At 40.5% G+C, this 15,703-nt stretch overlaps 1 protein-coding gene across 4 annotated transcripts; it reads left to right on the forward strand.

Moving 5' to 3' along the window:
• Positions 1–1,089: 1,089 nt before the first annotated feature.
• On the forward strand, positions 1,090–6,748 carry IL20 (interleukin 20). 4 transcript variants are annotated; one of them, NM_001385167.1, is made up of 8 exons: positions 1,090–1,132; positions 2,871–2,951; positions 3,072–3,211; positions 3,348–3,536; positions 3,824–3,889; positions 4,009–4,161; positions 4,909–4,983; positions 6,012–6,748. In NM_001385167.1, the coding sequence occupies exons 4-8, from the start codon at positions 3,378–3,380 to the stop codon at positions 6,087–6,089; spliced, it is 531 nt and encodes a 176-aa protein (NP_001372096.1). In that variant the 5' UTR covers positions 1,090–1,132; positions 2,871–2,951; positions 3,072–3,211; positions 3,348–3,377; the 3' UTR covers positions 6,090–6,748. The 4 variants fall into 4 exon arrangements, with proteins under 4 accessions (NP_001372096.1, NP_001372095.1, NP_061194.2 ...); NM_001385166.1 differs by lacking the exon at positions 2,871–2,951; NM_018724.4 differs by lacking the exons at positions 1,090–1,132; positions 2,871–2,951 and having other exon boundaries at positions 3,148–3,211.
• Positions 6,749–15,703: the final 8,955 nt, after the last annotated feature.

Raw genomic sequence — 15,703 nt, forward strand, 5'->3', positions numbered from 1 at the left:
AGATATTTAGATTAGATATTTGTACATATTTTCAACATTTATCAAGCATTACAATAAAAAGCCATGGTCTTTATTTTCAGGAAACTTTAAGAAGATATCAAAAGATGTTGAAAAGAACATTCTGATCCAAAAGGTAGAAACACAAAGAGTCATTGAATGTCAGAACAGGAAAAGACCTTACACACTGTTTAGTCTGTTTCTCTCATTTTACAGATTTGTAAACTGAGATCCAGAAAGACACAATCATATGCCAAAGTCATACTGTAATGTGGAGTCTTTGGACTCAAATATAAGACTTCAGAATTTTAGATATTTAATTTTTAATAAGTTGATAAAGAACATATGATAGTCTCTACCATCTTTATGTTTCCAAGGCGTTGTCTATAATTCATCCCAGGTTCTTTGAATTTAATTTTGTCTGGGAGCATGGTCCTACATGATGGACTAGTCCCAGCCTAAAAAATTTTCCAGTGTTATTAGGGAGAAAAGACCAAGTTCCATGAAACACAGGACAACATTAGATGCTTTCACTGCCAAAGAAAAATCTGCTATTGGAAGTCAGAGAAGGGAGGGATTGGTATAGCCCAGAGTTGTTCAGGAATAAAGGATTTGGGTTTCATCTTTAATGATGACTAGAGGGAAGGGTGGCCATGTTGGAGAGCAATGGTGGGGATAGCAAGGGCTGAGGAAAAACAGCAGGAATGAGCCCACAGTGTCTGGAGTTGTGGAGAAACTTGGTTAAGGGGAACTGGGTTTAGAGGAGAGAGCAGGAGAATCCCCCAGAATTCTCTTCCAGTTCAGTAACTCAGATCTTCTCTATCCATCATTTTATCAAGCAGGAAGGTGGAGCCAGAAGGAGGCACATCCTTTATCCACAGCTACAACCAGTAATCCCCTCAGGCAGTGCTTCTTCCAGGAGGAAGGTGTTGGGGTAATCTGTCCTGCAATTAAGCTGCTGTAGTGCTTGAGGAAGAACAATGCCACCAGAGAAATTCCAAGGGAGTTCCAGCCCTCACCTGCCTGAGCTCACTTCCTTCATGTGACATGTATATACAGATATAAATAATGGGAAGCCTTTCAACTTGAAACAGGCTCCTAGGAGACCAGAAGCAGCAGCCTTTCCTGAGCTCAGGTAAGAGATCTTACCCTCTACTGACACTGCTCACGTTGTTGTGAGGATCACCTACTTCTCCTAATCATTTACCCAGGTATGTTCAAGGTCACATCTAAAGGACCCTTTTCCACGAGGACAAAATCTCTTTGAGGACAAATAATCATCATGTTTATCTTTGTACTTCAGTACCTAGCACAACATTCAAGACAGCGGGTGCTCATTAAATGCTCATCAAATTGTTAGTTCAGGACAACTAACATCAATCTCTACTTAAAATGAATTGATCACTTGCTCTGTGCTAAGTGTATAAATCATAGATTATTGTATTTAAATAATCGATTTAAAATCAAAACAATTTCTGGGTTAAGTTTAATTATCACCATTTTGGGGTTAAGAAAATTAAACTCAGAGGTGAGTTGACTTGTCCAAGGTCACATAGAGGTAGGGTGGCCAACTCATTCCAGTTTACCTGTGGTTTTTCCAGTTTTAAAACTGAAATTTTCGTATTTCAGGAACCATTCCCTGCCCCCCAACCTCAGTGCTGGGTAAACTGGAATGACCCACATCAATGGAAACTAGTAAAGCGAGGATTTATTTGGACCCAGTTCTCTTGTCTCCAAACCCAGAGTCCTCTTTGATTCTTTTGGGTTTGGTTTGCTTTTTTCCTTTTCCTACATTTGACAGTATCTCGAGTGGTCACAAATGTAAAAAATGTCTAGCATATTGCCTGGCATATAGGAAAAATTCAGTAAGTGATAATGATTATCAGTGCTGTGCCAAGCTATGGAGCCAGCCATATATATATGGATGTGTGCATATATATATATGATGTGTGTGTATATATATATGTCTTTATAAATTTTATGTATTTATTTCTTTCAAAAATATTAAAGTATTTGAGAAAATTGAAAAATTAAAAAGTAGGTTTATTACGACTCATGACTTTAAGTTTAAATATTTTATTTCTGCCCCAAACAAAATTTATTATAATTTTACTGTCCTGGTTTTAAGGGAAGGAAACTCATCAATAATATTTTCATCATATGCTTTTGAGAAACAAAGTTAACCATTAAGAATGAAACATGAAAACATGTGAATAGTGGTACAAATTTTTCCTTTTGCTTCAATATGGCTCAGCATGGCACTGTCGAATTTTGTCTTTATATAAAATTTTGATATTTTGTTTGTCATAAGCTTTTTAATTCATTTTGATATTGCACTAAAATATTTTTATCTTGATGACTGAGGTTTTTTAGTGCTCCCTTAAATTTTGCACCTAAAATGAGTGCCTCAATTGTTTTACCCTAACCTCAGCCCATTATTATTTTATCTTAAAACTCAGCAAACACCCTAACCTGCTCTCTTACTGAGGAGGCTCGCCCAAGAATAAATGAGTTCCGTCATTGCCTTTCTTCTCTGACTTTTGGGACCATTTGCTTGGTCTAGGACCTGAGTTGCAGGTCCAGGAAAGCGTGTACTCTCGAATCCACCCAGGAGTGCCTGACTACAGTCCTCCTGCAGAGGGCGCTGTGGAGTCCCAGACACGAGTGTTAGGTGGAATCGGGCTGATTGCCCATCACGTCTTGCCTTTCCCTGGCAGTAGGCTTGTTATGAAATCATTGACTTTCTATTTGCCTCTGGGGCTTAAGCGAATCTGTTACCCTCAAATAACCTATCTGATCTCAGACAAATGCCAAACAGAGCTCAGTTTCTCTGCCCTGTGGGTGGCCATAAAATCCAGACAATTTCCCCCTAGGTGTTTTCGATGGCGCAGCCACAGCTTCTGTGAGATTCGATTTCTCCCCAGTTCCCCTGTGGGTCTGAGGGGACCAGAAGGGTGAGCTACGTTGGCTTTCTGGAAGGGGAGGCTATATGCGTCAATTCCCCAAAACAAGTTTTGACATTTCCCCTGAAATGTCATTCTCTATCTATTCACTGCAAGTGCCTGCTGTTCCAGGCCTTACCTGCTGGGCACTAACGGCGGAGCCAGGATGGGGACAGAATAAAGGAGCCACGACCTGTGCCACCAACTCGCACTCAGACTCTGAACTCAGACCTGAAATCTTCTCTTCACGGGAGGCTTGGCAGTTTTTCTTAGTAAGTTGCGTGGATGGGCCACACTGTCTGAGGCCAGATAAGGCTGTTCTCTTCCCCTGACCCCCCACCCCTCACCCCGTGGACACTTGGAGGAGGGGAAACTCAGTAAGTCATGCTCTCTTCTTTGAATTCCTAGCTCCTGTGGTCTCCAGATTTCAGGCCTAAGATGAAAGCCTCTAGTCTTGCCTTCAGCCTTCTCTCTGCTGCGTTTTATCTCCTATGGACTCCTTCCACTGGACTGAAGACACTCAATTTGGGAAGCTGTGTGATCGCCACAAACCTTCAGGAAATACGAAATGGATTTTCTGAGATACGGGGCAGTGTGGTACGTAAGCGGGTATCTACCTCTCCTGAAAGCCTTTTCTCTTCCTTCCTTGTCCGTTTCTCTTTCCTGGCAGTACTGGCAGTGTAATCATAAAAAGAGGCAGGCTGGGGATTCCTTACCCGGGGGATGTATTCCAAAGAAATAACTGTAGTTCAAATATTTAAAATGTTTTGGGAAAGGACACCTCCCACTAGTTCTTGGCAGGGAGTGGATGAGAAGTCTTGATATTGAAGACCCTGGCAGCAGGCACTGACTCATCCTTGCTTGTTTTGTCTTCTTCTGTTTAGCAAGCCAAAGATGGAAACATTGACATCAGAATCTTAAGGAGGACTGAGTCTTTGCAAGACACAAAGGTATGTGCTTGGCCCAGACAAACTCTGGGAGGAGGAGTGGAGTGGGAGCATCTCCATCACCCTGGTCTTGTCTCTGCTCTCCCCTTTCCCCTCACCAATATACCTGTGGTTTTTTGCAGCCTGCGAATCGATGCTGCCTCCTGCGCCATTTGCTAAGACTCTATCTGGACAGGGTATTTAAAAACTACCAGACCCCTGACCATTATACTCTCCGGAAGATCAGCAGCCTCGCCAATTCCTTTCTTACCATCAAGAAGGACCTCCGGCTCTGTGTGAGTGTGGGTCTTGGGTGACAGGATGCATCTCAGCACACAGCTTCAATGGCTTAGCAACTAAACTCTCTTTCCTACCTCCATTTAATGGATGGAGAAACTGAGTCCAAAAGTTCTAATAATCTGTGTTGAGACATGTGACTAGGTAATAAGAACTCAGTTTTATTGACTTTTCGGTATATGCTCTAGGCAAAAAGTACTTTGCAAAGTCTAAAGAACTATAAGATGCTAACTATTTGATATTAATGATAACTCTGTTGTCTTTGAAATTATACTTTTTCTGTAGGTGAGGTATCCTACAGTATATTAGTGCGTCCTCTGTCTAGGCAGTCAATTAGTAGACCATTGAGCTTGACCTCAGAATATAGTCTGAATAGGACCTAGGAATTCAATTCTTTTTTTTTTTTTTCTCATGGGGGCTCAAAGAGCTCTGGGATAGAGCTCCTAGACTACAGCTGGGGGTTGTGGGGAGGCCAGATGGGGTACGGGGATGGCAAATGCCTTCAGTACTGCCTGCCTATTTCTAAAAAAGAAGTGATGAGTTCCATGTTTGAGCCTAAAAGGTGGCTTCCTCTCCTAGCTGATGATGAACTTAGTGATTCCAAATGTGAGGTCTGAAAGAGCTTTTCTATAGGAATAAGCATCCTCAGGGTTGTGGGTGAAAGAGTAGAGTTTCTGCCTGCTTCATGTCAATGGCAAAAAATCAGAATCTGTAATATAATCTATTATTCTTTGGGTCCTTTTCAGCATGCCCACATGACATGCCATTGTGGGGAGGAAGCAATGAAGAAATACAGCCAGATTCTGAGTCACTTTGAAAAGGTATATGCGACTTTGGCATTGATTGGGATGGGTGTGTTTTAAGAACTGAGATCATAGGTAGGTGGGATGGTTATTCACTGTTAGACATCCTGTAGCCTTCAGGTTCATAGCCCTCTGAAATCATGAGGACCAGCCCTTGCTTTAACCCAGGGGACACCCATCCAGGCTCTAGAGGAGTACCCTCTCTGGGTGATGCTCTGGAAATGGAAAGGGAATGGCCATGATTCCATCAAGTCACTACAGTGACATCTGGATCTTTTAGCTGCACAAACCAGAGGCAATAGTTTTACAATGTTCACACACTTCTATGTACCTTTGAAAACACTCACAATTTCACACACACACCCATGCCATTCAATTTCTCACCTTCACACCTTCTCATGTCTGCCAGGAAGGCCTGGATTTCACTCCTCACTGACTAAATCCTACTCATCCTTTAAAGACTCAGCCTGGGCATCACTTTCAGGAAGGTGCTGGCTCCTTCTCTCAGAGTTAGATGCCTCCCACATCATCTTGTAGGAATTTCATCCCTTTATTCACCACACTACATTTTAGTTGCCTGTTTTTGCCAGTCTCCTCACTCAACTGTGGATAGGGATTGTGCCATTCACCTTTTCATCCCTAACCATCAGCTAGGTGATTGGCACAATCAATATCTGTTCAACTGATGTGTGCACCGTAGGCAACCCCTACACACACACACAGGCACGTGCACACACACACACACACACGTTTCTTAAAGAAAATAGCTTGATTATTTTGATCTCTGTGATTCAAGAGTCTTAAGTAGCAGTTTTACTTCTGCTACCCCCTTGCACCTCAGTTTCTGTACATAAGACCAGGGTGATGAACTCAATGATTTCCCTTCCTTGTGTGATATCTTGAGATTCTATAACTTCTTTAAGTGCTTCATCTTGAAAAGAATGCTCTGCTTACAATTGTCAGCAGACCTATCCATAAAAGAGATAGGTCCTGGAGCAAATGCTGTCTCATGAATTGCTAACCACATGGGTGTGTGTCTCTTTCAGCTGGAACCTCAGGCAGCAGTTGTGAAGGCTTTGGGGGAACTAGACATTCTTCTGCAATGGATGGAGGAGACAGAATAGGAGGAAAGTGATGCTGCTGCTAAGAATATTCGAGGTCAAGAGCTCCAGTCTTCAATACCTGCAGAGGAGGCATGACCCCAAACCACCATCTCTTTACTGTACTAGTCTTGTGCTGGTCACAGTGTATCTTATTTATGCATTACTTGCTTCCTTGCATGATTGTCTTTATGCATCCCCAATCTTAATTGAGACCATACTTGTATAAGATTTTTGTAATATCTTTCTGCTATTGGATATATTTATTAGTTAATATATTTATTTATTTTTTGCTATTTAATGTATTTATTTTTTTACTTGGACATGAAACTTTAAAAAAATTCACAGATTATATTTATAACCTGACTAGAGCAGGTGATGTATTTTTATACAGTAAAAAAAAAAAACCTTGTAAATTCTAGAAGAGTGGCTAGGGGGGTTATTCATTTGTATTCAACTAAGGACATATTTACTCATGCTGATGCTCTGTGAGATATTTGAAATTGAACCAATGACTACTTAGGATGGGTTGTGGAATAAGTTTTGATGTGGAATTGCACATCTACCTTACAATTACTGACCATCCCCAGTAGACTCCCCAGTCCCATAATTGTGTATCTTCCAGCCAGGAATCCTACACGGCCAGCATGTATTTCTACAAATAAAGTTTTCTTTGCATAACATCTGCTTGGAGTTTGCAAATGTTTCAAGAGCAGAGACCATGTTGAGGATAAGTTTGAATCTCATTTCACCCCAGGTCCTCTTGCTCCTTTGAGGAAGAAGATGTAGGAACCTCGATCTTCTCTCTCCTGCAGATTTCATCCTCAGCTCTATCTCCTAATTCATACTGCTCTGACCCCACGACTGCCCTCCTCTCAAAAGGACTGTGACAGAGTGAGGGGCTTCAGCCATCTCTGCTTTCGCCTCATTGGCTTGGAGCACTGCCCTTTCTATACCTCTGTTTTCTTTCTCACCCCATACCCTTGCAAGACAAATTACAATGGGCATGAGGCGCTATTATAAAGGTTAAAAACACACAGGTGCAAAGTGTAGGTCTAGAGTCTTGCCCAGACAGGTGTATGAGCCCCCTTTTGAGGCCCTTCCATTTTGGATTCTGTCCAGCCTCAGAGTTTAGGTTGTTACCAGATCAAGTCCTTATCTTTGTGTCCAACTATTAAGTCAGTGTTTTCTTTCCAGGCCCCCTTCAGGTTGAGTGTCCCTGGACACTGAGGAGCCAGAGTTCTGGCCTGGGCTGGTTCCTTCCTTCTTCCCCCACCTCACTCTGAAGCGCACCCCCAATTTAGTTGCTTAGTTTTCTCAGTCTCAGAAACAACAGTCTCAGGCTGATTCCCTGGGTCCTAAAGATAACTCTCCTTACTGCTTTAATTTCTACTCCCTGTTCTTAGCCTGGGCCCTGATATAGTTTCAATGACTTTAACTTTTGATAACTCTCATTATACAAGTAACAGCTGCCCAACAGAAAAGAAATTTTGGAAGAAAACAGAAATATAAAGAAGAAAATTAAAATCACCCATAATCTCACCACCCTCAGACAACCACTTTTAAACATTTATGCTTATTTTTTCCAGATATTTTTTGATGGGTTCAAATCATGACTCAGCTCTCATTACCTGAGTGATTTGTGGGGGCAAAACTGAACTTTATTTGGACTTAGTTTCTTCCTTTGGGAAACAGAATGGTAATATCTACTTTACAGGGTGACGGAAGAGGTGGTCTTTTATGTTCCTTTGATTTGCTCCCTTGCTTTTGTAAGTTCATACTCCCACTATTGTTGCCCATTTTCTATCAGGTTTTTACCTCTTTTCACCCTTCATCTATCAGGTTTTTCAGTTGCATATTTCCTGATTCTCTCTGACCAATCTGATAAACAACTTGGCTTCAACTCTGAAAAAACAGTGTTCAGAAGTCAACCACATGGAACTCAGTGCTAAAATTAGAATCATCACCTCCAAGGGATGCTACATGGCAAGGAGGAAGCTGGTTTCATCTGCTAAGGATATGGTGAGTGTCTCCCAGATGACCATGTCTGAGTTTGACCACAGAGCTAAAGACACAGCTCCTCTATTTGCTTCCTAGGAAGGCTTTTTCTTTTCTTTCTTTCTTTTTTTTTTTTTTTTTTGAGACAGGTCTTGCTCTGTTTCCCACGCTGGTCTTGAACTCCTAAGCTCAAGAAATCTTCCCACCTCAGCCTCCCGAGTAGCTGGGAATAGAAGTGCATACCACCACACCTAGCTAATTTTTGTATTTTTTGTAGAGACAGCCTGTTGCCCTGGCTGGTCTTGAACTCCTGAGCTCAAGTGATCCACCTGCCTCAGCCTCCAAAATGCTGAGATTACAGGACTGAAGCCAAAATGCCCAGCCTTAGGAAGCATTTTTGACTCTTCTGAAAGTCTGGGCGATAGGAAGCCTTGGTCTTTGGGGACTCCATGTCACTATGTTGCCATTGTCTTGTTACCCTTTGCCTGTCTATTCGTCTTCCCTGAAGAACCCATCTTCTCCTCCAAGTCATTTGTCTCTTTTCTTCTTGACTTACTGTAGCACTACATGAGGGAATTCAACAATGTTGAATAATGAGGAATTCAACAATGGAGACATCAAAGTAGACTGGAGGTTAAGGGAAAACTGCACAAAGATGGGACCATTGAGGACAGACACTGAAGAATGGTTTATGATAGTCACTTCTGATTACAATAACCAAAATTATTATTGTCAAGTATTAAGCACTTAGCATGTGCCAGGCGTTGTAATGGAAGCTTCACATATAGTACACTATTTAATCCTTAAAACAACCTTAGTCTTATTGAAACAACTAATCTTACTACCAGTTTGCAAATGACAGTGTGCTCAGAAATGGTAAGTAATTTGTGCAAGGTTTTACAGCTAATAGAAGTCAGAACCAAGATATGAATGTGGGTGGTCTGATACCACAGCCCTACATACTTTTGGACTTTCTTGTCCTTTTTCCCAACAATGGCATCTTGTCTTCAGAAGCACAGCAGAAAGGAATAATGAGGTTTAGTTTCCTAGAGACATAAGTAAAAATTCTGACTCTGACTCTCACTGTCTTGGACAAGGGACATCACCATCTTCAGTTTTTCATCTGCAAGGTGGGGATATTACTTGCCAGACTGAATGGATATGAGGACTAAATGAGATTGCAATAGCTAATTTGTACCAGTACTTATAATGTAAGTGTTCTAAGCATGTTACAAATATCTGGCCATCTAATTTGCACAAGAGCATGATGAGATATTTCCATTATTATTCCCATTTTACAGATGAGGAAATTGAAGATGAGAGGTAAAATATCATGTTCAAGTTCACTAGCTACCAATGGTGGAGATAAAATATGAATGCACGTGGGAAGACTGGAGAGCCATGCTTTTAACCCCTGGACTTTGCTGGATGGGTAGAATGCCCAGGACATACAAAGCACCTGACCAGCAGCAGCTCTGGCCACTATCAGAGGAAAATGATGAGGTTTCCTGCCAAGCTATAGCACTAACAATTAATTTCCTGGTGCAACTTACCTCTGTGACATCTGTGCTGAATTTTGTTTCTCTATGGGTCTAAATCTTGTTTCTTCAACAAGCAGAGCATAAGTTCCTTTGGAGATGACAAGATAAATACGTTAAATCTCAGGTTGACCTATCAGGTCTGGTTAGTATTAGCGGTTAGACCTTAAATAGGCCACTCCCCTTCTCTGGAGGGAGTACATATTCTGCTGACAGACTGAATATACAAACAGACAGTGGCCAGGCCATATCTAAAAATAGAACTCTGACCCACAATCTGCAACAACCAGCCCAGGAAGCCAATCCATCCAGCCCAGGAAGCCAGCCTACTCTCAATATGTCAGACTCTCAAGGAAGTAAGATCACTATCACTAGCAATCAGCCCCGGAAGCAATAACACCTTTAACAATTGGCTCCAAATGGGCAGGACTTGATTAATAATTGACAGCTTCTCTAATTTTTGTCCCTGCTTCCAACTTAGGATAGGCCAGAGAAAGTCAAAAATATAAACCCCAATCACATAGGATGCCCACTTCTAGTCAGCATGCCTACAGCTTCTCCATGCAAACAGCCTCCATTCAGGGGATACCTGAAGCTTTTCTTTATCCAAGTCTAAAGCTTTCCTACTCCTCTGCCTGCCTTGACATCTCTGCCAAAATGCAGGTGATGATGGCTGACTCCCTCGCTAGAGGAAGCTCTGAATAAATAGCCTTGCTTGTTCTCATTTGGGTGGTTTTCAATTATTTCCACACTGCATTTGTAAAATGACAGGGTTGGAATAGATGATTCTGGGTTCTAGAAACTAGATGTGTTACCACTGTCTCAGGGAACCAGATGTAGCTGCTGCCACAATTGCCTTCCATTAGCGAAAAGGAACCTGCATGGTTTCTGTATCACCAGCTTTGGATTCAGAGTTCAATGAATGCATCTGATTGCACAGGCCGAGATGAGATGAGGCCATGTGCTCTGGATGACAAGGAGGCTGGACAAGCTTCCTCTGATGGGAGATGGGCTCTTTCTCAAAAGGAGCGGCATCCCAAACTTAGGAATGAGGTCCAAGCCCAGGTGACCAAAAAGACTTTAAAAAGTCTACTATATCCCTCATTTCCACCATGGCTTGGGGTTGCTCAGACTCCCTATTTGCAAAGATTCAGGTCTTTTCTAACATACTCCACTGTAGCTTTGTCTGCCTGTCCCTCTCCATATGGATGGAGAACAAACGGACCATTCCCTCGCTGGACTCCTAAGTTCCTGGAAGTTAGGGCTATGTTGTCTTTTTAGCTTTTTAGCCTGCCACACCCTACCCCATCTCAGCACAGTATAATGCTACATTATTAATAAGGACTGAATCTGAAAGCAAGATAATGGAAAGTGTTTTTTTAAAAATATATCAAATGTAGTTGCTTTTTATTTGTAAATGGCTGTTAGCTGATTTTTTCATGAGTTAAAGGCCTTTGGCCTTTGTTAGAAAACAGATAATCCACCCTGCTCTGCAAACTGGGCCTTGCTCACGGGAGGCAGTACAATAAATGGCAAAAGAATGACTGAATATAGCCACTCACTTATTTCACTGGGAGATTGGGAACAAAAAAGGTGACATTTGCCAGTTCAGTTCAACTGTCAGGAGCACAGTGAGTCAATCACTTAACGGGAAGAGAGTAGGACTCAGAGGCCTGGAGGCAGGAAGCCATGAATTGTAAGAGTGCTCACACCTTTCTGTGTACATTCTTAGTCTTCTAGAATGTTAGAAGTGGGAAGGAATGTTCATAGAGAATATGCAGATCTACATAGAGAATATGCAGATCATTTTCGAGGGTCCAGAGAGGAAAAGTGATTTGCCAAAGGTTAATACAGTGAGTTATGGCCGAGTTGGCATTAAAATTCAGTTCCTGGCTGGGCATGTTGGTGCATGCCTGTAATCCCAGTACTTTGGGAGGAAGAAGTGGGTGGACTGCTTGAGCCAGGAGTTTGAGACCAGTCTGGGCAACATAGTAAGACCTTGCCTCTACAAAAAAAAAAAAAAAAAAAAAAAAAAATTAGGTGAGAGGATCTCTTGAGCCTGGGAGATTAAGGCTGTACTTAACCATGATCCTGCACTACACTCCTGACTGGGTGACAGAGTAAGCCTCAGAAAAAAAACAAAAAAAATTCAAGTCCCTGTACATCCAGGTCCAGTAAACCTCAGTTCAATTCAAGAAGAACTAAATGTTATCCAGATTACAAATGAAGAATGTATTTATTCATAGATGACATGATTATCTAGGTAGAAACATCCAATGGAATTTACAAAAAGCAACAAACTAGGTGCAATGGCTCATGCTTGTAATCCCAGGACTTTGAGAGGTTGAGGCAGGAGGATCACTTGAGCTCAGGAGTTCGAGTCCAGCCTGGGCAGTAGAGTAAGGCCCCATCTCTACAAAAAGTTAGCTAGGTGTGGTGGCAAGCATCTGTGGTCCCAGCTACACAGGAGGCTGAGGTGGGAGGATTGCTTGGGCCCAGGAAGCCAATGATGTAGTGTGCTGTGTTCCCACCACTGCACTGCAGCTTTGGTGACAGAGGGAGACCCAGTCTCAGCAATAACAACAAAAGCAACTAGAACTAATAAGAAAGCTTAGTGAAGTTGCAGAATACAAGATCAATATACAAAAACAAGTTGTATTTCCATACACCAGCAACACACTCTTGGAACTTGAAATTTTTAAAGATTACTAATTACAATAGCATAAAAAATGAAAATACTTGGGGATAAATCAGGGACAGAAGATTTAAAAGATCTCTACTGGAAACTGCAAACCATTGCTGGAAGAAATTAAAGACGATCTAAATAATAAATATATACCATATTCATGGGTTAAAAGATTCAACTTTATTAAGATTTTCTCCCCAACATGATCTATAAACTTAAGGCATTCACAATCAAAATTCCAGCTGCTTTGTTTTAGGTAAAATTTATAAACCAATTTTAAAATTAATATAAAATGAAACAGATTAAAAATGGCCAGAATAACTTTTAAAAAGAACAAAATTGGAGGATTAATATTATCTGATTTCAAATTTATATAAAGCTATGGCAATTCAGACAGTATAGTATTGATGTAAAGATAGAAGATCGAAAAATAGATCAATGGAACAGAATAGAAAGTCTTGAAAAGACCCATGTATATATGGACAATTGATTTTCAACAAAGTACAACAGCAATTTGGTTAAGATAAAATAGTCTTTTAAAGAGATGGTGCTATAGTAGTTGGGTAGCCAAACAGCAAAAAAAAACGGGGCAAAACAAAACAAAAAACACAAAATAAAAACAAAAAACCCAAAAAACCAAAACAAAAATCAAACAACAACAACAACAACAAAAACCCTTGGATTCATACCTCACTTCATAATTAAAACTTAACTAAAAATGGACCCTGGATCTAAGTGTACAACTACACAACTTCTCAAGGAAAACTCTTGTGACTTTGGATTAGTCAAAAATTCTTTAGATTTAGCAGCAAAAGCACAATCTATAAAAGAACAAATTGGTAAGTTGTACTACATCAAAGTTAAAAATTTCTGTTCTTCAAAAGACATCTAAGAAAATGAAAAGATAATCCATAGTCAGGGAGAAAACATTTATAAATCCTGTATATGATAAAGAACTTGTGTCCAGAAAACATAAAGAATACTCAGAACTCAATTACAAGAAAACAATGCAATTTTCTAAATGAGCAAAAGATTTGGACACCAAAGAAGATAAACAAATGCCTGCCTCCACCCTCCCCCCTCCCCCAAAAAACACATGAAAAGATGCCCAACATCATTTGTCAGTACGTAAGTGCAAATTAAAGCCACAATAAGATAGCACACCTGTTAGAATGGCTACAATTAAAAAGAATGAACACACTAAGTGTTGGAGAAGTTGTGGAAGAACTAAAATTGTCTTATACTGCTGATGATAAGAATGTAAAATGGCACAACCACTTTGGAAAACAGTTTATTGGTTTCTTAAAAAGCTATATGACCCAACTATTCCACTTCTACATATTCATCCAAGAGAAAAGGAAGAATATGTCCATACAAACACTTATACAAGAACGTTCATGTCAGCTTTATTTTTAATAGTCAGCAATTTCAAACAATCTTAATGTCATTAACAAGTGAATAGGTAAACTAATTGCAGTAGATATGTGCATTATCTTGATGGTGGTGAAGGTTTTATAGGTATATACATATGTCGAAACTTACCAAACTGTATACTTTAAATATGTGCAGTTTATTGCATGCTAATTATTGCCCAGTAAAGGTGTGAAAAATTCAATTCAAGATAATTTCTTTTCTAGGCATTGTGGATGTTACAAATGCATAAAGAGAGTATGTGGTAGGGCAGTCATGTCCAGCAATATGAGGCTCAATGTGATTAAGGCAAGACGTTCATGCAGGGAGGTCAGGGAAGGCTTTCTGAAAAATGGATCTTGGATTGGACTTTTAAGGTCCAATTTGATGTCAGTGAGGGGCATGGGAAGACAGGGACCTTGAAGTCCTGCTAGCCCAGGGAAGTGGCTCAATCCTGAACTAATATCTATATTCTCTATCACATTTATGGCATATCATAGTTCAAAATACTTTTATTTAAATTATTTAATTTGTTTCTTTATGTACCACCTCCTATGAAAGTGATTGAGAGAGGCTTATATGAACACATACAATACAACAAGAGTTAAAGAAAATAGATGAAACACGTGGAATACAGACAATATAACGAAATTGTGATAAGATCATTTCACAAAGGATATATGATAAGGTTCTGAATCATAAGTTGGTAGAAGGATTAAAATTTGGCTCTGAACTTTCTAAAGGATGGAACAAAGAGAGAAGCATGATCATTACAAAAAGTACCGAGCATTCTTTACCAATAACTTGGAAAAGGAAAAAAGGAACAACTTACCAAGCACTTTGTCTAGGTTCTCTCATTCAAACCTCACATACCCTGAACAGTGGGCCTGTCTTTCCTACAGATGGCAGAGATCAGTGATTTCTGGAGCTGTTATGGAGATGGTTAATATGTGGAAGTAGCTCCCTCTTTGTCTTGCATAAAGGAGGGAACTGCTGCTGGTCTTTAAATGAATCTTTTCACTGAGAAGGATTCAGAAAGAATCTAAAAAATTCTTTTCAGAGACAGAAAATCAGCTTTGAGGACGTGTGCAGTGGCTTACGCCTGTAATCCCAGCACTTTGGGGGCCCAAGGTGGGCAGATCACTTGAGGCCAGGAGTTTGAGACCAGCATGACCAACATGGCAAAACCCCATACATGCAAAACTTAGCCAGGTGTGCTGGTGGACACCTGAAATCCCAGCTACTTGGGATGATGAGGCAGGAGAGTCTCTTAAACTGGGAGGTGGAGGCTGCAGTGAGCAAAGATTGTGCCACTGCACAATTAACTGCAACAAAGCAAGACTCTATCTCAAAAAAAAAAAAAAAAAAGAAAAAGGAGAAAAGAAAACCAGCTTTGGATCATCTCGATCTATGATTAGATGAAGATGATATGGAATTACTAATCCCCTAGCTTTCTTCTAGACACAAATGTAAATCCACCTCAGAGGAAGATACTATTATTACAATGTGAAAACATCTGAAAGTATTAGAGACGTAACAAAACAGGCATAACTATAGGGCCAAGGTTTGGGAGATGAAAACTCACAGAAGTGAGCCCAGTGTTGGGGGATGCTTTTCCCCTAGGGATATAATCTAAATTCACAAAAATTGATGTAAGTTTGGAAGACTGAGAGGCTGAAAATAAAGGTATTTTTCTCAGAGCCTGCTAAAGAAGGCTCTGGCAACCTCCTTTCCAGGCTTTGGGTTGGGATCTCAAGGTGCTACAACCTAGGAGTGAAATTGCCTTTGCAAAAATTATGACAGTGAGAGAAATCTGACAGAAAAATTATGACAGTGAAATAAATCTGACATAACTAATTCCATCTTTCCTGTAATCTTCAAGTTGCCCTTGTCCATTCCTGGACATAAGCCAAGCTAACTACGGGAGGAATTTAGTTTATAGTTTAACTTTAAAACAAAGATGATAATACCCCCTTCCTGAAACTAACTTGCTCCTTGCTCAGGGA

This window comes from Homo sapiens, chromosome 1 (assembly GCF_000001405.40).
Source record: "Homo sapiens chromosome 1, GRCh38.p14 Primary Assembly".
Taxonomy (NCBI): domain Eukaryota; kingdom Metazoa; phylum Chordata; class Mammalia; order Primates; family Hominidae; genus Homo; species Homo sapiens.